The sequence below is a fragment of the Homo sapiens genome, chromosome X (assembly GCF_000001405.40).
Source record: "Homo sapiens chromosome X, GRCh38.p14 Primary Assembly".
NCBI lineage: Eukaryota > Metazoa > Chordata > Mammalia > Primates > Hominidae > Homo > Homo sapiens.
The window spans coordinates 133,584,163-133,608,646 of record NC_000023.11 but is presented as its reverse complement, the minus strand read 5'-3'; the positions used below and the strand labels follow the sequence as shown (position 1 = coordinate 133,608,646).

Below are 24,484 nucleotides of genomic sequence, written 5' to 3'. Positions count from 1 at the left end.
AAGCCCAATGCTTGATGACATGGCTGCTGTGGTTCATACACAGATGTTATTTTTAGAGGCAAGAATTCTCATTTCCCAAAAGTATAACCACAAGATGTCTATTTGGAATGAATCACATTTATGCATTTGGACAATAGTAAATGTTCAGATCATGTCTGTGCAACCTCAGTTCCCTGAAGAAATATGTAATATCCTGGTACACTCTCACCCCAGGACCCTTGCCCTCTGTCAGTGGCCCTCATCTAACTGAGGTGATTTCTTTGGAAATGGAGCAGGGCTGTGGGGTTCCATAGATGTCTTTGAAGCAGGTTTTTCTTCCAGGAAAAAAAGTTATATTTTGTCCTTGTGGCTTTCCACAAAAACTGGTTTAGGGACAAAAATGTCACCAATCTTCCACAAAGCGGGTAGCAAGGCTCAGAGACCTTCAGGGAGAATTTGAACTTGGTGGCCCGCAAGGGTGCCTTGCTGTGTTTGCACTTTGCTGCCACAGCTGGCAAATCAGCCTGATCTGGCTAAGCTTTTTGGGCCTAGGCCAATCTCAGGTCCAGCCTTTATAACTGTGACTGGACTGTGTGGGGCTTTTGGCCCCTTAAACTGAGCTTTACTCTAGTAAGGCTGGAGACCCTCAAGGAGGGCATTACAGAGCCCAGAATTAACACACACAGGCAGGCTAATCTAGCAAAGAGAGTACTTATCTGGGAATTGGCAGAGGCTCCCTGGGTGGGTCCAGTAACCTTGTTTAGCCACTTGGTGCTTTGCTTGGCCACATCCCTTTGGGTTAGCTGCTTCCTTTGCTTAAAAAGATCGAATGACTGCCTTCCTCTTTGACTTTGCCCTCCTCCCTCATGGGAAGAGTCTCCCTCATCTGTGGGGAAAGATGGTACCTGTCTTTCAGGGTAGCCCAATAAAGTAAATGCTGGTAGTCAATCACTCAGTCCGTCTGTTCAGCTGTCTTGCTATCTAGCTGTGGAATCAGGGCTCCCTGGCAGGAATCAGCTATTACCATACCAGGAAAACAGCAATGGCATATCAGACTGGTCAAAGGGACAGAGGTTGGAAAAAAATCAAGTCAATGAATAGGGCTGGCACAGTGGCTCATGCCTGTAATTCCAGAACTTTGTAAGGTCAAGGCAGGAGGATTGCTTGAGCCCAGGAGTCCCAGACCAGCCTGGGCAACATAGCGAGACCCCCATCTCTATTAAAAAGAAAGAAAGAAAAAAAAAATCAGTGAATAAGCTACTTACTAATTTCTTAACCCATTGGTTCATTCATTCTTTCAGTTACCAAACATGTCCTGAGCACCCACTATGTGTCAGGCATTGTGCTAGTCCCAGAGCTATGCCCTTTCCAGATTAATACTGGAGTTCAAAACCCCTCCTTCCTGGCCCCATTCCAAATCCTAACAACTTTATACTAGCTACCCTGAGGAAAGTTTTCAGGCTGAAAATGGACATGTTGCCCCACATCTCTCTCGACTCTCATTTCCTCATTTGTAAAATGAGGCTAATAATACCTGCCCTGCTGCCTCACAGGGGTCCCATATAGATCAACTAAGAGAACAGATACAGCAGCTTTTAATTATAAAAATCATAAAATGCTAATAGTTGTGACTCAATAATGAAGATTTATTGAGGGCTTACCATGTTCTCCAGATTTAGCCTTACCCAGGTCATAACTGAATGTTAACCTATACCAAAAATTCTGAATTTATCCTGTTTGGAAATTCAGATTTTATAAATATATAGTTTTTCATGTATAATATTAATATTTTGTGAATGCTGTGTACCAGATACTAAGCTCAGTGCTTTACACAAATTACCTCATTTAATCCCCATAATTACACAATGTGGGAGATGGATACAAGTATTATTATACTCATAGAGAAGAAACATGGAACTCAGTGAGGTTAAAGAATAACTTGTTGGCTGGGCACAGTGACTCACACCTGTAATCCAAGCACTTTGTGAGGCCAAGGTGAGAGGATCACTTGAGCCCAGGAGTTCAAAACCAGCCTGGGCAATATAGGGAGACCCTGTCTCTACAAAAAAAAATTCAAAAGTATTCAGGCATGGTGGCATGCACCTGTAGTCCTAGCTACTCAGAAGGCTGAGGCAGGAGGATTGCTTTAGCCCAAGAGGTCAAGGCTGCAGTAAGCTGTGATCACTCCACCACACTCCAGCCTGGGCAACAGAGCAAGACCCTGTTTCAAAAAAAATAAATAAAATAATAGCTTATTTATAGTAACAAGGCTAGTAAAGGATAGAGTCAATTTGAATCCAAGTTTTCTGACTCCAGAGTATGAACCTTTAACCACCATGCTATGCCTCCTCTTGGAAAAGAATCAAACCCTATACACTTCTAAGCTATTGGTAATATTATTGGAAATTTTCCACTTTGAGGTAGCGGACAGTTTCTTAGAACTACAGAGAACCATTTCTACTACTGGGGAAGGAGCCCCACTGAAATGGATTTAATTCCATCCTGGGTCGGCTTCTTCACATCCTGGTGTTTTGATTGTTTGTTTGTTTCCTGTCCATTTAACAGGGGGACATATTTTCATAAGTTTCACTGCTGCATTCACAAACCATAAAGTAAGAATTGGGAAAGCTGGAAGTGGTAGAGAAAGTGTGTTCTGTGGATCAGAGGCAGATGTGGAAGCAAGGCCCAGGCAAGAACATATGTGGGTGTGGGTAGCTTTGCTGATACCATATGGAAGCACAGCCTCTAGCAGGTCTCTCTTCTTTGTCATTAAACATCTCTGTGTGTATCCTTGGTACACAGACTCTTATCTTACTGGGAGCATCCAGAAGGGTTTTCCCAGACCCACAAAAATTCCACCCAGGCTTCTTTCTAGTGCTTCAGTGTGTGGCCATGGAGTATTACTTTTTTTTGCCTTAGGAGGTATTTGTAACAAGCTCTTATGTCTGCTGCTATGGCTGCTACTACTACCCCTCTTCCTCCTCTTTTCCTCTTCAAGATCATCATTGTTATTCTGAGCAGAAGAGTTAACATGTCCAATAACTTATTACCTTTCCAGGCAATGTGCTAAGCACTTTACATGCATTATTCTATTTATTTGTTCATTCATCCATTTAATATTTACTGTTCATTACTTTGTACCAAACACTGTGCTAGGCACTGGGAACCGAACACACTTTTATCCCTTCTGTTAGTCTAGTGGGGATGCAACAGGGAATATAGAATTACAAACAGTGGAAAGTTCTAGAAAAGAAGAATACATGGAACTATATGAAAGGTGAATGGTGCTATTTTATTTAATATTTCAACAGCCCTGTGAAGATAATAAATAGTATTATCCCCCATTTTACAGGTGAGGCAAGTGAAACTCAGAGAGTTTAAGTGACTTGCCCAAAGTCACACAGCTAGTAAGTAGGCTGAGTAGGGATTCACATCCATGCTGGTCAGATTCCAAAGCTCATGCCCTTAACTGCTATACTTTATTGCCCCCCCCCCACGTGTGAAGTGCATATATAGCCATTAATTCTAGGCCTATACATTTGGGTTCTGGCTTTATCTCAAATGTGTGGAGTTGCAATTGTTTCCAATTAGTTGTGGCTGTGGTTTGGTGCATTCGTTCAAAGAGAGTGTGCACGCAAAACACAGGTCACGTGCTAGGCCTTGTGGATGTGCACAACGTATAAATAATAATGGCATTCCAAAAAAGCTGGGCTTCATTGGAGTCACCACATTTGTTTTCCATTAGCTTATGCTACTCAAATACAAACGGTAAAGCATGTGTTTACATTGCTGTGGATACGGAAAGCCAGGACCCCAAAGCACATTTTGCAGGTTGTATAAAGCTGAGCATCCAAATAGTTCAAAATCAGTTTTATAAGCCCAGCTTAATAGCTTTAAAATGTAACCTGGATTCCAGATATTAAAAAATGCCTACAGAAAGTATGTGAGTAGCCAAAAGAGATAAAACCAGCTAAATCCTTAAAATATGTACCAAGTCCCGTATTTGCAGTATCTATTTTGTTACTTATCCCTTTATTTTTTTTAAATGCTAAAGAGCTTAAAGTCAAGCAAACTCTTAGCCATGTAGCAGCAGTAATGGAATTTTTCATTCTGTACTAACCAGCTGTCTGAAGCTTTTCAAAACAAACCTGTTCATGATGAGATAGTTTGGTTATTTAAAACACAGTAGATGACAAGCCTGGGGAAAGCAAGCAGAAAGCATCCAATGTTGTTCAATGCCCAGTGCTTATCTCCCCCTTCTGGTCCTCCCACCCAATAGTGAAAAGCTTTCCCATCAAGTTATAGTTAATGCCCAGCATCTGAGAAAATGGAATTGAAATGGAAATTATCTGAGCTAAAGGCAGTAAAGATGGCAAAAATGTACAATGAAGGCCCCATTCGTTGATGTCTTTACCTAAGACACATGTTTCTTTTGAAGAGTTCTGGACCTGGGGGGCAAATATGTTACTGTTAATGAGATCTCTATTACTTACTCAGTAACTTGGTAAGGTTACTGAGCTTCAATGTCTTCCCTTAACGTGAGAAATGGGGATGGCAGTCTTCCCTGTTATACAAACTGGTGGAGAGTATTGAGGATTATGTGAGAGAACATATGTTAAACCCCAGCACAGTGTGTGGCTGATAAGCTTCATATCTTTGCAATCAAGACAATTCCAAGAGGCATATTATTTATACCATATAGACAGATCAAGACTTGCTGCTCTCACTGGTCTAATTTCAACATATTTGATCCCTCTCCGAACAATAAATATGTCCTTTGATCTCCCATGGACCAAGCACAAAAAGAGCTTCAGCCAAATCTCATTGTCCCATGCTGCCATACCCTTTTGTTATATTGGTTATGGCTTTAAAAATATGAAATTGCTGTACTTCAGAAAGCCCTTTTTTCCCTTTCATTGTGTTTCCAATTTTCTTAAGTAATTATTCCAGGCTTTTTGTTTCCTTTTATCACACAACCCTGAGTACCTGTTCCAAGGCTAACTTTAAATGTTTCCCTGTCTAATCAAATGAAGTCAATCACCTTTATACAAGGGTATTTTCCGTAACTACAAAGACAAAAGGTCAAGATATCCATACCTAACTGAAAAGGAAATCATCATATTATATTTACTTTTAAACACATGGTTTGAAGAGCGTTTACTAAGGATTCCAACATGCATGGTGCTCTGGTGGCTCTTGTCAAAAGATGGTTTCAGTGGGATTCTGGGAAGCAGAGTAACATTGGAGCAGCCTTTCTGAAAGAGTAAGGAGTGGTCTGCGGTTCACTCACAGTAAGATGAGGGGGACAGATCTAGTTAGGCGTGTGTCTGTAGTACCAGCTACTCAGGAAGCTGAGGCAAGAGGATTGCTTGAGCCCAGGAGTTCGAGACCAGCCTAGGCAACATAGTGAGACCCCGGCTCAAAAAAAATAGATGCAGATCTGTGTGCCCCATCCCAGATTCACCAAATCAGAAACTCAGTGAGTGAATTGGGCCAGGGAGCGTGTCTTTTTTTTTTTTTTTTAACTTTTGCCTTTTTATTTTTTTCGAAATCACAATTTGTATTTATTTTGTCAAAATTGCTGACCTGGATATAATTGGGAAAGGAATGATTGAATGATTGCCAAGAGCTCAATATCAACACAAAAATGTAAGCCATCAAGACTGTTTGTACACGAAAAAACTTATGTTTCTGTTAGGTGTTTGGGGGAATTATGGCTACACATTGAATTACTTGTTATTTAAATATTACTTCTACAACATGCATTATCTTAGATATTTTTGTTTTTCCTATAAAATACCTTTCAACTTAAAAAATGTTTAATTCTTTATTTTTCCTTTTATTTTTGGTTGACACATAATTGTACATATTTATGGGACACAGAGTGATAGTTCAATACGTGTATACAATGTGTAGTGATTAAATCAGGGTAATTAGCATATCCATCACCTCAAACATTTATTATTTGTGTTGTGGACATTCAGATCCTCTCTTCTAGCTTTTAGAAAATATACAATAAATTATTATTAACCATATTCATCCTACAGTAGTATAGAACAGTGGTCCCCAACCTTTTTGGCACCAGGGACCAGTTTTGTAGAAGACAATTTTGCCACGGACCAGGGATGTGATGGTTTCAGAATGAAACTGTTCCACCTCGGATCATCAGGCATTAGATTCTCATAAGGAGGGCCACCTAGATCCTTTGCATGTGTAGTTCATAATAGGGCTCCCATTCCTATGAGAATCTAATGCTGCCACTGATCTGATAGAAGGAGGATCCCAGGTGCTCACCTGCTACTCACCTCCTGCAGTATGGGGACCCTGGTATAGAACACTAGAACTAATTCCTCCTATCTAGCTGTAATTTTGTATCTATTGGCTAATATCTCCCTATCCTCCCCTTCCCAGACTCTAGTAACCACTATTCTCTACTTCTATGGGCTCAACTTTTTTTTAGCTCCTACATATGAGCGAGAATGTGGGGTATTTATCTTTCTATGCCTGACTTATTTCACTTAACATAATGTCCTCCAGGCTCATCCATATGGCCTCAAATAACAGGATTTCATTATTTATTGTGGCCAAATATTATTCCATTGTGTATATATACCACATTTTCTTCATCCATTCATCTGTTGATAGACATTATAGGTTGATTCCAAATCTTGGCTATTGTGAATAGTGCTGCAATAAACATGGGGGTGCTGATATCTCTTCAATATACTCATTTCTTTTCCTTTGAATAACTACCCAGTAGTGGGATTACTGGACCATAGGGTAGTTCTATTTCTAGTTTTTTGAGAAACCTCCATATTATTTTCCATAGTGCTTGTGCTAATTTACATTCCTATCAACATGTATAAGAGTTTAGCGAGGCTAATTTTTTAATAAGCATCCTGGTGATTTTTATGGAATTTAGAGAATCACTCCCACAGTGTGTAAGTATGTACATACCCTTTGACCCAGTATCTTTACTAAGGAAATAATCCAAAATATGGAAAGAGTTATGTGAATGTTCCTGATGATTACATTTTTGTTTATAAAAGCAAAATAACAGGAAACAATGCAAATATTCAATATTAGAAAAATGGTTAAGTAAATGTTGATAGATCCCTTAATGGATAGATGCATCATCCCATTTAAAGTATGACATTTATCATATTTACTTATTACAACAATTCTGTGAGGCAGGCGTTATTTCTCTCATTTTATAGATGAGGACACTGAGGTTTAGGGAGATTAAGCAGCTTGTCTGAAAATACAGTTTTAATAAGTGGAAAAAGTAGCGTTCGAACTCAAGTCAATCTGCTTCCCAAATGCAAGTTCAATTTAAAAACAAGCATTAAAAAGTGCTGACCTTTGAAAACACAAACATTGTTTATTAAAGTTTGGGAATTAGGGGTTTTCTTCCTTGTTTCTTTTCCTTTCACGTTTCTATATTTGATACTTGCATATTTAAAATATTAGATTCTAAAAGAAAGTTGATTGTATGCTTAGGCAACTGTGATAGTCTCAGTGGCTAAAACAGAGTTGCACAGACAGTAGTGGCTGTAGAAAAAGCTGGAATGTGAAGGGCCTTGTGCACTTCCACTAAGGTATCCTCTGTATTCAAAGTAATGCACAGCAGAAGTGTCAGGTTAACAGAATGTCTATGGGGATAGTGGAATGAAATACTCAGACGTAGGTTTTAATATGATCGTTTACATTGATAATCATTATTGTGTGCCTTGGCTTTTAAAAAGCTAACAGGACAGTGTCCTTTGAAAATGGCAAACAGTTAATCAAAAGCATTAGGCCCCTAAAGTTACCTGCTTTTGTGTGTAAGTCCCTCATAATTTTCTTTTCATAAAGTTAGTGTTCAGTCTGAAAGACTGAGAGAGGGAACAGAAAGGTCAATATTGTGAATTGTAATTAAGCAATTGGATTTCTGGGCCAAATTCCAGGCTGCCTAAATCCACTCCTTGCTGGCAATTCCTCCTCTCTGACCCATTACCCTTCTTTCAACACTCTGGAGCTTCAGTCTCTTCTTTAAGATTTTCGCATTAACAATAGATTTCTAGGTTTGGGTTTGTTTTGTTAATGTGTGAGGGTTAGGTTTATCAGTGGCTGTCTGTGTAAAATGGCTTAAAAGTCTACTATAATCCTTCTTCCATGCTGAATTTGTCACCAGAATGGGAGTGATTTAATACCTAAAGAAGTAACTTCACTGGCAAAGTTTTAAAGGGTTTTTGTTTAATTGCACTTTGTTTTAAACTGAGCTACTCAAGAATAGTGGGGACATTGCACACAGGTTGGAAACAGTCTCTCAAAGATTAGCTATGTGTCTTAGCCAAGGTCCTCCAAAAATGTTTAGCTACTCATTCACAAATTCTTCTTCTATAATTAATCTGGGCCTTGACTTTCTCCTTTTTCATAAGGTTGTGGAAATAGCTTTTAAAGAATTAAAGATACCATAACACTTCATTTTGCTTCAGTTCAATAGCACATATATTGAGTGCCTACTATGTGCTAGACACTGCCTTAAATGCTCTGGGGTTCAAAGATATATAAGATTAAACCCCTGGGCAGCTCACAGGATGGTGGTGGAGAGAAGTCATATGTTCAAATACCGGATTGCATACAGAAAGTGGCATTTAGGAGGTACAGATAAAGGGAACAGTGGTAGAAGAGGGAGAGGGAGAGCTATAATGACTGTCTACCAGGAAAGCTTTATTAATGACATGGCGTTAGAACTTGGCTTGAAAGTATGGAGGACTTTGAACAGACACAAATGAAGAACAGCTCATAGTACATTCTCAATGAATGTGTACTGAAGGTGTTAATGAAAGGGACAGATGCAAGGTGTGCTTGAGAAATAGCAAGTTCACTAATCTATATCTAAACATAATTCTACTTATGTGAAAAATTATCATTCAGGTATTCCATGATGTACACAAAAGATGCATTCTTGAAAATTAACATAAAAATGCTTATATCGAAAGCAAATTTCTCATAAGACATAATGATAAAGGAGGGCATTGGGGGTTTTGGTGAAACTGAAGTGATGTTATAGGCTAGATTAGCAGTTCTCAAAGAATGGTTTATGGATCCTGGGAATCCAAGAAATCCAGGGATCCACAAGGTTAAAACTACTTGCACAACAGTACTAAGATGTTATTTGTCTTTTCCCCTGTGTTGATATTTGCACAATGGTTCAAAAGCAGTGGCAAGTACAACTCTTCGATGCCACAGTATGAATCAAGACACCACAGGATGAATTAAGCCAATAGCACCAAAATGTACTAGTAGTCATTGTATTCATCACTGGTGTGTACTTGCAGAAAAATAAAGGGCAGTTTTACTTAAGGATATCATTGCTGAGTCTGTAAAAAGTTACTAATTTTATTAAACCTCATCTCTTGCACTTTTAAAAGATTCCGTGTTATAAAATGGGAAGTACACTGAAAGTATTTACACAGTAAACCATGTCAATGTGCATCTCAAGAAAAAGCACTTGTGAGAAATTTGAGCTGTGAGCTTCCTGTTTCATTTTTACTTGAGAGAATGACTGACAAACTATAGTTATGCAGACTTAAATACTTGCTAGACATTTTCTTGGAAAGGAACAAAGAGAGCCTGTCAGTTCAGGGAAAACAACTGGCAGTATTTATTGCCAATAATAAAATTCAGGCTTTCAATAGAAAACCAAAAATTGTTTTAAACTTTTATCTGCCACTGTGAGCTTGAGAGCTTCCCAAAACTTAAAGACTTTTCAGATGAGATTGGAGATAATATTAACAAATGTGATTTTTTATATCACATAATGAAAGGTGTTGACATTGGGAAGACCTGCATTGCTCAGTGAGCCAGTATTTTCCAGATGACCCATGGATGATGATACAAAATGAGTAAAATGCGTGTTCAAAGTTCAAAACATACCAATGGATGTAAATGTAACAGGATATGATATATTTATTTATATAGTTTCATATTCCACACTGCAACTAACTACTTGTTGAGTTTTTAATGTAGTATCAAAGAAAAATCTCCACAATTATCTGAAAAGTCTGCTAAAATACTTCTCTCTTTTCCCATGACATATCTGTGGGAGGTTGGATTAACTGCAAATGTTTCAACCAAAACCATATATCACAGCAGATTGAGTGGAGAAGCAGATTTGATAATCCAGCTGTCTTATATTAAGCTGGACATCAAAGAGATTTATAAAACTGTTAAATAGTGCCACTCTTCCTATGAATTATCTTATGTCTGGGAAAATATGTTTGTCATTCAAAAATGTTTGTGTTTTAGCCTGGGCAACATAGTGAGACCTTGCCTCTACAAAAAGTAAAAAAAAAAAAAAAAATTAGCTGGGGATGGTGTCACACACCTGTAGTCCCAGCTACTTAGGAAGCTGAGGTGGGAGGATTGCTTGAGCCTGCGAGGTTGAGGCTGCAGTGAGCCATGATCATGCCACTGCACCCCCACCTGGGTGATGGATCCAGACCCTGTGTCAAAAAAAAAGAAATGTTTATGTCACATCATGGGTTCATTCTTGTTATGTTTATAGAAGCTATCAAATAAATATTTTTAAAATTTCTCAGTTATAATTTCTAAGATGGCAAATGTTGATAGATATAACTTGTATAAACAAAAATAACTTATATAAACTCTATGGTTCTCAGCAAGTATAAAGGAGTCCTGAGACCAAGAAGTTTGAGAACCACTAATCTAGCTCATCTTAGCCTGTATTTATATATAATATAAATGTAGTTGTGTATGATGAGCAGCAGCGGAAGTGGCAGGGTGAACGTGGTGCTGGAGTGGGAGACAGTTGGTAGATTGGCTTCTCCAATACCATTAGAGGTTGTTGGCCAGGAAAAAAAACAAAAACAAAAACAAAAATCTCTTTGGGACTTTCCTTTCTTTGCTAAAAAATAAAAATAAAAACGTAAAAACCACCTGCAGAATCACATTTCTCTGTAGTATGTAGCTCTTTCCAAGTAGATCTCAGGGTGGCAGCTAAATCACAGGTGGAGAACATAAAAGTATACTTAGCCATGACATAAACATAGGGACGATGGAAACCGCAGAAACCCCAGCTTGTGTTTGCAGCAATTTTTCTTTCTGGATACCTCTTCCACAATCACAAAGATCTCAGTTTCTGTATATCCAGAATCTTTTGTTGGCTGTCTTTTAAAAGTAGGGGTTGGATCTAAGATTTAGGATGAGAAATGGGTGATGGGGAAGAAGCCAGGACAAAAACAGAATATGAGAATGAAGCCTTGGAGAGAGATGGCAAGGAAAAATAAGATGGAATCTGACAACGGCCCTCAGGGACCCTTCGTGCGGTGTGCTGGGTCTCTGGGTCAGTGGAGAGGCTTTTGAAAGGCGGGAGTCCCGTGAAATTCGTAATGCATTGGCCATGTGACTGAAAAGCCAGACACCGCAGAGTGAAACAAACATGTCTCTTAGTGTGCATATTATCTACAATAAAGCAAAATAAATTTAAAAGCATCTTATTGGAATTGCGGGAGAGGAGAATAATGAACAATTTTTCTAGTGATCAAGGCATATATAATGATGATTGATTGTAAGTAGTCATTGTACATGTGTATAAAATGGCACTGCTATTCTCCTCATTTGGTAGGAAGCATTTTGTGGTTTTAATTTAGTGACTGTAAATTTGATTATTGGGGGCTTCCATAGGGATCTTTTCTGGTCTTGGTGTCCTCTTAGCTTTGCCTTATCATGTCTTAAGTTCCTCATCAGTGAATTGTATCATGGAGACTTTCAGGAGCTTAAATACCATGGTATGAGAAGATCTAATGCAATATACACTCTGGCTACTGCATGATGTAAGTAGAGTCAAGGAGTAGACCATCACATCAAATGCTATGGAAAGGTTCAGAAGTCTGAAACTCTAAAGAGTATAAGCAGTTTACACCTACGTAAATTTGAAAGTGATTTTTTACAGCTTCTGTGTAATTCATTGAACATTTTTAATGCCTCCTGTTAATAACACACTGTGCAGACCCACCTGAGAAATATGAAGAGCTGATGCATTCCTGGTTGTTTTCTTTCAGCTCCTGAGAACCATGTCTATGCCCAAAGGTAGAGTTCTGGATAAAAACCTGGATGAGGAAGGGTTTGAAAGTGGAGACTGCGGTGATGATGAAGATGAGTGCATTGGAGGCTCTGGTGATGGAATGATAAAAGTGAAGAATCAGCTCCGCTTCCTTGCAGGTAACTGATTAGTGCTGACCCAAATGTAATCTAAAAATGGTGATGCTCAGGAATTAAAAATAAATTGAACCCGCTGTCTGCAATTCCCTTACATTCCCTGCAACACACAATCTCATCAACTCTTCAAGGAAAGACTATACAAGCTCTAGAAAGTGAAGTTCTCAGGTAGCCTCCTTCTTTTCCTCCCACCATTTCCAACCTTTGGTAGATTAAAAGGGTAACTTCCTGTTTTTCATTATCTAAAATGAACTGACCTAATCAGTTGGCTCTGTTTCTCATTGGAGTTTTCCTTGGTTCTTCTCATTTATAAAAAGAAATGCATAATAAGAAATGCAAATTTGGGATGAAATAACCTGTACCATAAACCCCCATGACACAAGTTTACCTATATAACAAACCTAGACATGTACCCCTGAACTTAAAACAAAAGTTAAAAACAAACAAACAAAAAAAAGAAATGCAACCTTGGAAGTCTTCTGAAAACCACTGGTGAGATAACTTTCAAAGGAAGAGCCATTAGCTGACCTTCTTTTCTTAGGACGTTATGTCTATTTTGTTTTCTCACAAGCAGTCTAACATAGATAGGCTATGGCATATGACTGAAGACCTACATAAAGACAAGAGTGGTAGGGCACGGTTGTTCATGCTTGTAATCGCAGCAATTTAGGAGGCTGAGGTGGGAGAATCACCTGAGCCCAGGAGTTCCAGACCAGCCTGGGCAACATGATGAAATCCTGTCTCTACAAAAATACAAAAATTAGCAGGGTGTGGTGGTACGCCTATTGTCCCAGCTACTTGGGAGGATTGCTTCAGTCCAGGAGGCAGTGGTTGTAGTGAGCTGAGATTCTGCCACTGTGCTCCAGCCTGGGAGACAGAGCCAGAGTCTGTCTCAGTAAAAAAAATAATAATAACTAAACAACAAGAGCAATAGAAAAAAGTAATATAGTACTGCTGGGGTCAAGGAGGCAAAACAACAACAAAAATTCCTTAAATTTGTATTCCATATCACAGTTTAGAGTACTTTCATGTGGATAGGTGTTCTTTGATTTTACAGGTAATTAAAACCAGGGCTCAGAGAAGAAATGAGATTGCTCTATATGGAAGAACTAGAAATCTACCTCGGGTCTTGAGACTTCCACTGCCATTCTCTTTCCTCTGTGGTGCACAGCCTTCTCCTTAAAACCCTATCACCCATGGCCTCTGAGATGCTAAATGTTCCTATTTCTCTGGCAGCCTCTTTCCTTCTTAGTTCTTCTTCCTAATCCTACCTGAAACTGGCTATTATCCGGATGTCCCTTCTTAAGCCTCTGTCTTTTCTCTCTTCTCCAGAAAGAATGCAGATCTTATCTACTCTCCCTCTTTTGACTTTTTCTTCCTTTTTGAGATAGGGTCTCTCTCTGTCCCCTAGGCTGGAGTGCAATGGCGCTTTCACACCTCACTGCAGCCTCAAACTCTTGGGCTCAAGTGATCCTCTCACCTCAACTTCCCAAAGTGCTGGGATTATAGGTGTGAGCCACCATGGCTGGCCTCAACTTTTTTTTATGATTTATTTATTTTTTATTAGGGTAAAAAAAAAAACTAACATGGAATCTGCCCTCTTAAACTTTTAAGTGTACAGTACAATACTGTTAATTATATGCACATTGTTGTGCAACAGATCTCTAGAACATTTTCATCTTGTGTGCCTAAAACTCTATGTCCATTGAACAGCAACTCCTTATTTTTCCCTCCCCCAGCCCTTAGCAACCACCATTTTACTTTCTGCTTCTGTGACTACTTTAGACACCTCATATATGATGGAATCATGCACTATTTGTCCTTCTGTGACTGGTTTATTTCACTTAGCATAATTTTCTCAAGGTTCATCCATGTTGTAGCATGTGACAAGATTTCCTTCTTTTTAAGACTGAGTAATATTCCATTGTATGTATGTACCACACTTTTTTATCCATTCATCCATCAGTGGACATGTAGATTGCTTCCACCTCTTGGCTGTTGTGGATAATCCTACAATGAACATTCTTTAACTATTATAACACTGTGGGAAATAACTTACATAAAGTCATTACCACGAGTCTCAACTGCTCTCCTACCATCCCACATCTCCAGCTGCTTATTAATCATTTCTGACTTCACCACCACCACCCCCAGCGTGATGTGTCACAAGTCAGATTTATCAACTGACCATCATTCTCCTGATCACTGAGGCTTAAACCTAAAGCCATCTTTGCTTCTTCTCTCTTGCCCTTAAATGCAATTAGGCCCCCAATCCCTGTCGATTCTTTCTTTGTAATTTATTCTGCTTCTGTTAATACTTTTTTGTTTTTTGTTTTTGTTTTTTTTGAGATGGAGTTTGGCTCTTGTTGCCCAGGCTGGAGTGCAGTGGCGCAGTCTCAGCTCACTGCAACCTCCACCTCCCAGGTTCAAGCAATTTTCCTGCCTCAACCTCCCAAGTAGCTGGGACTACAGGTGTGCACCACTATGCCCAACTAGTTTTTTGTATTTTTGGTAGAGACGGGGTTTATCCATGTTGGCCAGGCTGGTCTCAAACCCCTGACCTCAGGTGATCCACCCACCTCAGCCTCCCACAGTGCTGGGATTACAGGCGTGAGTCACTACGCCCAGCCCAATCCTTCCTTTCTATTCCCCCCTTCACACCCTCCTGCACATACTATTGCAGACACATCGTAGGTGGTCTCCAGGCTTCTAGGCTCAGGCAGGAGTATTGAGAGCCTTAGGCTAGTAGATTAGAGGACAAAGAATTTGAGACCCAGGCAGAAGATTCCATCAAATTCATCTTGCATAGCTACCTGGTTAATCTTTTGAAGGCATTTCATACTTTCTCCGCAGCTCAGCTGTCTTCATGCCTTGAGGATAAAGCTAAGACTCCTTAGTAGAGTTCTGAGGGTCTTCTGGTCTAGCCTCAACTACCCTTCTGGCTTCATTTCCCACCACTAGCCCCCGTAAGCACCCTCCACTTTGGTGAGAACAGCCATATTCATGCTCCATGAACCCCATAAACATACTGTTCTTGTTTCTGTTTTCCCACCACTGCCTATGTTTATTTCTTTTTTTTTTTTTTTTTACTTTTTTTTTTTTTTTTTTTTTTGAGACAGTCTCACTGTGTTGCCCAGGCTGGAGTGAGTGCAGTGACACAATCTTGGCTCACTGAAACCTCTGTCTCCCGGGTTCAAGTGATTCTCCCTGCCTCAGCCTCCTGAGTAGCTGGGATTACAGGTGCACACAACCACGCCCAGCTAATTTTTGTATTTTTAGTAGAGACAGGGTTTTGCCATGTTGGCCAGGCTGGTCTCGAACTCCTGACCTCGTGTGATCCCCGCCTGCCTCGGCCTCCCAAAGTGCTGGGATTACAGGCATGAGCCCCCAGTGCCCGGCCTGCCCATTTTATTTCTATAGAGATTGACCTTTTTTTCTTTCATCTTAAATTTTACCCATCCTTCAAGGTGCAATTCAAGTGTGATGCAGTGAAAAGAAAATAGGTCTTGGGGTAGGACAAATGTTTATTTAAATTCTTGCTCTACTTATGAGCAAGCATGATCTGGGACAAGTTTCTTAGCCTCCCCTCTATGTCTCCATTCTGTCATCCATTAAATGGGGATCATAACCCCAACTTTATAGGACTATTAAATCGAGGGGGAACATTTATAAAACATCTAGGCAAGTATCTAGCATATGCTAGGTGTTCCATAATTGTTACTTTCTCTCCATGAAATCTTTCATAGCCATCTCAGTCCATAGTTACCTCTGTCCTCTGAATTCATTACTAAAATGAATTCTGCCAGTGCTTTCATGAAACAGTCTACAATGGCTCCCAGGTTCCATAGGACATAAAGTGACCACTCAGAGCCTGGCAACCTATTAGAAGAATGTTGAATAAACATGAAAAGTAAAAATAAGAGAAGCTAATGTTCATTGGACACTTATTATGCTCTAAACACTGTGCCAGAGCTTGGCATGCATTGTCTCATATCATTTTCACAATACCACTATGAGGTAGGGGTCATTACTATTCTCACTTTACAGATGAGAAAATTTATACTGGAGGTGTTCTCACTCATAGTGGGAATTGAACAACGAGAACACTTGGACACAGGGCGGGGAATATCACACACAGGGGCCTGTCCTGGGGTGGGGGGAGGGGGGAGGGGGGAGGGATAGCATTAGGAGATATACCTAATGTAAATGACCAGTTAACGGGTGCAGCACACCAACATGGCACATGTATACATATGTAACAAACCTGCACGTTGTGCACATGTACCCTAGAACTTAAAGTATAATAAAAAAGAAAATTATGCAGGAGGAGGTGGAGTGGCTTGCTTAAAGTCACATTCACAAAGGGCAGAGTCAGGATTCAGAGCCAAGAAGTCTGGTTTCAGAGGCCACTCCTTGAACAAGCCTACTCTGACTCTTTTTTCTCTGATCATCAACACAACTATAAAAAGATCAAAGTCAGCTTTGCATTTTGCTACCTGGAAAAGTTGTGGTCATCTAAAGTTGCCCAGACAACTTACCAAAATGTTGCCTGGTCCCAGCACTGATCCCTGAGACATACCGCTGTTCATACTTCTCCAGAAAAGTCTATGCTTATTCCTACTTGTGCTTTCCTGACTATAAGCCACTTCCTTATCCATTTCAAGGCACTGCTCCACAATTCCATGGTGACTTAACTTGTTAAAACAGTGTTTGGCATGGGATCTTGTCAAGGGCCTTTTCAAAATCTAAATAGATTACATCCATGGTTTCCCTTTGTCCACATACACATTTATCGTGTAAAAGAATTCTAGTCAATTTGTTAGGCATGATTAACACTAAGTTCTTTATAAACTGTAAAACATTAGATAAATGGTGGTTAATTTAATTGAGAGGAAAAATGATGCCTAGCCCCCAATACATTACACTTGCCTAACATATTCAGTGATCCTACCAGCCTGAAGTTCCTTGGGCCCCCCTTTAAAAATGCTTCTCATGGAGAGGAGACTCATTGCCAATCTGCCAGGCTCATGGTACAATAGCTATTTGGCATAATAGCTATTTGGAATGACAGGCTATATGCTTTGGTCAGCTGTTATACAATTTTACCTAAAATTTGGATAGATGCCATCTGGTCCTGATGATTCATCAGCATCCATTTATTTAGTCAGCTAGACTTGGAACACCATGCACGTTCACCACCATTTCATTTAGCCCTCCAAATTGCCTCCTCCAAAATACAACTTGGGAATAAAGAGCATGGCTCGGAATATGTTAAGACTCTCTTGTATCTCCCTTTTGTCCCTGAACAGACCTTTTGCGACATGACCAGCAAGTAGCTCTATCGGCTGGCTTCCCTGGCTTACTTCTTCCCTTCTTTTGAGGCACTGAATGAAGTGCAGGACACGCAGGTTCTGTTCCTGGCTTTGCTTCTCCCGTATGTCCTAAAGCGAGCCCCTTCCACTTTTGAAAAGTCAGTTTCTCCATTTGTGAAATAGAGGGAGTGTACACACAAGTCTTGCAGGGCATTCCAGTGCCAGCAGTCTGTGATTATGTTCATTTCTTTGGCTTTGATCCCTGGCAAGGTGCTTATCAGAGTCTTTTGAGGACATCTTCTTGTAAGTTTTCATCTGACCTTGCAGGTTCTCTGTTCTCTTCTCTTGAGCTATAGTTCTATATAGAAAAGATCTCATTTTCCCCATTCTAACCCCTTTGACTTTTCCACCAATCTGGCAAGCTGGGCTTCTTACCAAGGGCTCCCCACATGTGGTCTTCAACACATTTTTGCATTAGGATGCTATTAAAAGTAATGGCAAAAACCACAATTAATTTTGCGCCAACCTAATAATAAGAAGGTTTTAGTAGTTTCCAGGCTTTCTGGGGTATATTCATTTATAAAATTATTCACCTCAAAGTTCCCTAAGTATTCTCTTTTTCCTTATTTCTTATTTATAAATTTTACATAGAATCCTTAGAGTCTTCTTCTTTCTGATTGTTGAATTTAATTGTTGGTGGGATGACCATTACATGATGTCTTACCCATGGTTACATCTTCGCCTGTTCCTCGCACTTCTCAGAACCAAGGGTAATGTATTTCCCTTTTGGTGCGTGTCCTAGTCCATTTGCACTGCTATAACAAAATACCTTAGACTGAACAATTTATACATTCTAGTAAGTTATACTTACAGTTCTGGTGGCTGGGAAGTCCGAGATGAAGGTGCCAGCATTTGGTGTCTGGTGAATGCCTTCTTCCTGCATCCTCATGTTGCAGACGGAACAAATGCTGTGTCCTCACCTGGGGGAAGGCAAAAGGGCAAAAAAGGGACAGATGCTGTGTCCTCACATGGCAGAAGAGATGGAAAGGCAGAAAGGAGCCTATCTAGTTCTCTCCAGCCCTTTTATAAGGGACTAATTCCCTCCATGAGGGCAGAGCTCTCATGGCCTAATCACCTCCTAAAAGCCCCACCTCTTCATACTGTTGCATTGCCGGGGGCATTAAGTTTCAACATGAATTTTGGATGGGGCACAAACATTCATCAAACCATAGCAGTGGGATACTTCATCTCTCTCAGCCTGCTTCTGTTTCTAAAAAGTGGAGATACAGCAAACTAGCACAGGAGCAGAAAACATCTTGGGCTTAGGGCTTAAACCGATTGTATTAGTCTGTTCTCGTGCTGCTGATAAAGACATATGAGAGATGGGGTAATTTATAAAGGAAACAGGTTTAATGGACTCACGGTTCCACATGGCTGGGGAGGACTCACAACCATGGCAGAAGATGAAGGGAGAGCAAAGGCACACCAGCACTTTGGGAAGCCAAGGTGGGCAGATAACCTGAAGTCGGGAGTTCAAGACCAGCCTGACCAACATGGAGAAACCCCGCCTCTACTAAAAATACAAAATTAGCCAGGTGTGGTGGTGCATGCCTGTAATCCCAGCTCCTCGGGAGGCTGAGGGAGGAGAATGGCTTGAACCTGGGAGGCGGAGGTTGCAGTGAGCCGAGATTGCACCATTGCACTCCAGCCTGGACAACAAGAGTGAGACTCCATCTCAAAAAAATAAAATAAGTAAATACATAAATAAAACCATCAGATCTCATGAGACTTATTCACTACCACAAGAACGGTATGGGGGAAACTGCCACCATGATTCAATTACCTCCCGCAGGGTCCCTCTCACAACACGTGGCAGTTATGGGAGCTACAATTCTAGATGAGATTTGGGTGGGGATACAGCCAAACAATATCATCAATACTAAAAGCAAATGGCTGTTTATTGCCCTTGGTACACAGATATTTCTCATAGAAATGCTTGCCTTCAGGAAACTTTCAGTCTCTCAGATGTCAGTGTGGGGACTGCAAAGAGAAAACCTGCCACTTGTTGCTTGACATGGGGTGACTGGTCCCTTTTGCCATTCTTCTGTTGTCATCTCCAAGTGCTATGGGGGAAAGCAGTGGTCTGCCCCTGGCTAGTCACTTCGTCCCAGCAGTACTGTGGAGGAAGCCTTTAAGATTTCACAGCTGTGAGCCCCATTTAGGGTAATATTATTAGTATTATTTAGTATCATTGGATTATAACTTATTATTTTAGCTGTCTGTAGCATATATTCCCTTTTTATAGTTACTTTATAATCTGAACACAAAATAACGACGATCTCAAGTAAAACAGCAATTAGGAAATATTTTCATAAGCCAATGATCTTTATTTTTATTTATTTATTTATTTATTTTTACTGGATCAAGTGTAATCTTACACTTCTACTCCTAATAAGCCTGCACACATAGGAAAGGTGAAGGACACCTCAATGGCTTAAGTGTTCTTCTAAAGTGTCAAGTCAAACCTTCATAAACGTAGGCTGGTAGTCATTTTGCATTAATAAATTCATTAATAGAGTGGTCTGGTGAAAAGGGTCATTGGAAATTTATGATAGGCCTTTTATCATGAGTGACAACTGCAAAATATTAATGATTTAGAACAAATCATGTTGCCTGCTGAAAAGTGAGTAGAAAGCTTGTAGGGAAATGAAATGTCCTGGGTTTTTTTGTTTGTTTGTTTGTTTTTTGTTTTTTTAAATGGGAAAGTTGTTAGGTCCTATGCAGAACTCGGAATACATTAGATACAGTAATATATCTATTTATACTACCCTGTTGGTAACAAGTCCAGGAATAAATTATGGCAGTTTTACCAAAATGTATTTTATAGTGTGAGTATCCCAATTCCCCTTCCTTTGTGCTCTTTGGAAATGCACCATTCAGATCTTTGTCACGTAAGTTGTAGATTGCTTCCTGCTAAGTAAGCCACCCCTGGAACTCTCAGGCAAGATCTTGTAGTGACTGCCTCCAAACTCATTTCTTGGGATATCAGCCCCTCCAACATGTGACCTCAGTGCAAGCGACCCCACGTCATCCACTGGGAGGGAGATCCCATCTGTTGGGCAAATGAGACACCTTCTTACCCTTAGACTGTTGAAGTTTGAGATCTAAAGGGAAGGGCGTCACTTCTACAGAGTCAAACAAACTGGGTCCCAGTTCTGTGTCTGCCACTTCCCAATGTTGTGACCTTGGACAAAGTCAGTCAGTTCCTCTGAGCCACAGTTTCCTCACTTGCAAAAATGGTGATAAAATATTTCCTGACCTACCCACCTCATAAGTTGCTGAATGAAACACATGAGATAATGGATGTAACATACTTTATAAACTTTAAAGCATCATATCCATTTAGGATAATATTATTAATATTGTTTAGTGTTATAACTTAAATTATAATTTTAGCTAAAGGCTTTTGGTGAATAAAACTAAACTAAGTTCCAAATGTCCAAGCCAATAATTTTCAAATGTCCAAGCCAATAATTTTCATTATAAATGTGCTACTCTTATACACTGTTGGTGGCAATATACACTAGTACAGCTACTATAAAGAACAGTGTGGAGATTCCTCAAAAAACTACAAATAGAACTACCATATGATCCAGCAATCTCACTACTGGGCATTTACTCAAAGGAAAGGAAACCAATATATTGAAGAGACATCTGCACCCCCATGTTTAGTGCAACACTATTCACAATGGCCAAAATATGGACTCAACCTTGGTTTCCAACAACAGATGAATGCATAAAGAAAATATGGTGTATATGTACGCCGTGGAGTAAAAAAAAAGGAAATCCTGTCATTCCAGTTTAACTGTTGCCAATCCTGTCATTCCAGGTAACGTGAATGGAACTGGAGGACATTGTGTTAATTGAAATAAGCTGGTAACAAAAAGTTAAACACCACATGTTCTCATTCGTATATGAAAACTAAAAAAAGTTGATCTCATAGAAGTAAAAAGTAGAACAGAGGTGGGGTAGGGAGAGACATGTCAAAGGATACAAAATTGCAGCTAGATAAGAGGAATAAGTTCTGGTGTTCTAGAACCACTGTAGGATGACTATAGTTAACAATAATATATAGTTTCAAATAGCCAGAAGGAGGATATTGAATGTTCCCAGCACAAAGAAATGATAAGTGTTTGAGATGATGGATGTGCTAATGACCCTGATCTGATCAGTATATATTATATGAATCAAAACATCACTATGTACCCCGTAAATATATACAATTATTACATGTCAGTTAAAAATAAAAAAAGAAGGAATCTCTGAAAAAAAAGATGTTCTCCATCATCCCCATTCCCAAAGGTGGCATTTTTAATTACTCATTAACTTGTTTTTAGCCCAGGGTGGTTTGAAGTGAGAAGGTATTTGAACAATGACAAATATGTCGGCTGAGTTGTACAAATAACCACATAGTCACAACAATAGTAGTCACTTACATCTTGAAAGAATCACAGCTAGTTATGTTTTGTTTTCTTTGGTGCTAGTGGGGCGGTAAGGGCATGGGTGGACAACGAGTTGGGAAGGGTCAAGAAAGGGCCCCTGATTTTTTCCATTCTATCTCGCTCTGAGCTACAAGCAATCTGCTTTCATGTTTTGGTCTTTTCTTTTAGAGATCAAATGTCATAGGAAAGCTGAAGGAAGCAAAGCTCACCATAATAACACTTTTCACACAGATATAGACCAGGTGGTTCTCGCTAATCAATTGACAAGACAGCCAATCCCAGCTCACCCTAGAGCTTTGCGAAGCTCCCAGGGCTCACAAAGGGGACTTAGATGTGAGCTTTAGCAGTGGTATTACCTGCCAATTGAGTAGGTATACCAAGAAAGAGGCCTTCCCCATGCTTTAATGTTGGCTAGGGAATTACTATAGGTAATCTGGTGATAGATGAGAATGAGCAAAGGTTAAAACTTCCCGTAAAGTTATCATAACTCAGGATACCTTAGGGAGTTTGTTTCTTATTATTTGGAAGGAGATATTCTGAGATTTGCTTTTCTAGGTGTGCTGCGCTGTGATACTTTCCCATCTGAGCCATTAGGCTATAAGGCTTTTATCAGGAGTAATGCTGTAAAAGTTGTACTTGCTGGTAGGCCTTACACATAACTCTAAGAATTGAGTAAGTATTAGGGATATTGTGAGCAATTTAGTGCCATTGTATTATATTTTCTAATCAATCTTCAAATTAAGAGGAAACTGTTGAACAGATGAATTTGACTAAGTGGTGCAATTGATTTTCTCTGGACAGAAGCCATGTTGGCCAGTTTTATGACAGCCTCAACTAAAATGTGGTAATTTAGCCAAGTATTGGTAGAAAGGAAAGGGATGGAGAGGTTCAGCATTCAGCTGGTGGGAAAGTAGAGAAGGATCTAGCAGGAAAGTGGCAAGCCTGAAGCCTCTCGCTGGGTTGCCAAACAGAAGTGAAGCAGTCCCTGTAGGATAACATCCCCGAGGGATCTGGGAGTGCAGACTTACATGCCAGCAAAAGGAAAGTGCTCCCCTGCAAGAAGAAATAGCATAGCAGAAAGAGAGAAATGTGGAGATGTCTGATTAAACCTGTGCTGTTGTCCAAAGTTTCCATGATAAACAATGATCTCCTAGGGGGTTCAAATCAGAAACAAGGAATCGTGAGCGTGCAGAGTGAGACAGAAGCTGAAAAGATCTAGTGTGGATAGTCCTAGTGGCTGCAGGTAGAGATCGGGAATAAAGTGAGGGCTGAGGTCCTGCTCGGAGAAGGGGAGGGATGTGGAGCCATCCAATGCCCTCCAATTGTTGACTTTCCATAAGGCCCCTTAAACTGTGCACATGTGCACGCATGTGCTGTCAAATCTCTCCAATTCAGACAGTGCAGTCCTTTAGGTTTTTCTAGCACGGCAAAAAGAACAAAGATGCAGCCATCACCTCCCCTCTTTATTTGTCTGTCGGGTACAAGGACATTTCCCATTCGCACTGGTAGGAACGAAGTTACTGGCAAGTTTTTGTGTGGTTAATTTTTCTGAAGGGAAACCTTGTTATAGATCTTGCCTGTGTACACACCTGCCTAAAAGATGTTTAATGATTCTTATCATTTCCAAATATACTTGCTGAGTTTTTTAAAAAGTGCCTTTTAGTCTGTTTTTTGTTTTTTTGTTTTTTTTTTTTTTTTGGCTTTTTATAATCCTAATGTGAATGTCTGATGGTAAATAAGCTTTTAAGGTGAGAACACGAGCACCAGCACAGACAGAATCTTTTAATTTGTAGCTCATTGGTGGACTGAAGCAGTAATATAATTACCAAGTAAATAAAAATGGAGTAGAAGGCCAGGCACAGTGGCTCACACCTATAATCCCAGCAGCTTGGGAGGCCAAGGTGGATGGATTACTTGAGCATAGGAGTTCAAGACTAGCCTGAGCAACATGGTGAAACCCCGTCTCTGCCAAAAATCCAAAAATTATACGGGCATGGTGGTGCGCACCTGTCATCCCAGCTACTCGGGAGGGTGAGGCATGAGAATCGCTTGAACCTGGAAGGTGGAGGTTGCAGTGAGCTGAGATCGTGCCACTGCACTTCGGCCTGGGTGACAGAGTGAGAATCTGTTTTAAAAAGAAAAAACAAAAATGGAGTAGAGGCTATTCTACAAATTCAGGTTTCCGAGGACAGTCTAGGTTAGAGCAGGAGGAAATCTCATGAGCACATTCAGGATGAGCTTCAGAGAAGAGTCGTTCTCCAAATAACAGTGAACTCCTTGGAGGGTCGAAAGCAAGTATTTTTCATCCTGTGTATACACTTCACAGTTCTCAATCACCTATTCTCCTTCCCTCCATGCTGCTCAGTGACTCTCAGTACGTATTTAGTAAATATTCAGTTATGGATTTGTAATATTTACTTTTCACATTTGCTTCCTTTGGTCCCATATTCAATAGGGCAACAGTGT

The 24,484-nt window shown here is 40.0% G+C and overlaps 1 protein-coding gene across 4 annotated transcripts in view; it reads left to right on the top strand.

The window, feature by feature from the left end:
* Positions 1-24,484, top strand: part of GPC3 (glypican 3) — a 449,850-nt gene that overhangs the window by 376,948 nt on the left and 48,418 nt on the right. For all 4 annotated transcript variants that reach the window (NM_001164619.2, NM_001164618.2, NM_004484.4 and 1 more), the window contains one exon: positions 12,048-12,207. In NM_001164619.2, coding sequence (NP_001158091.1) covers positions 12,048-12,207 — 160 coding nt within the window. The remainder of the gene's footprint in view (positions 1-12,047; positions 12,208-24,484) is intronic.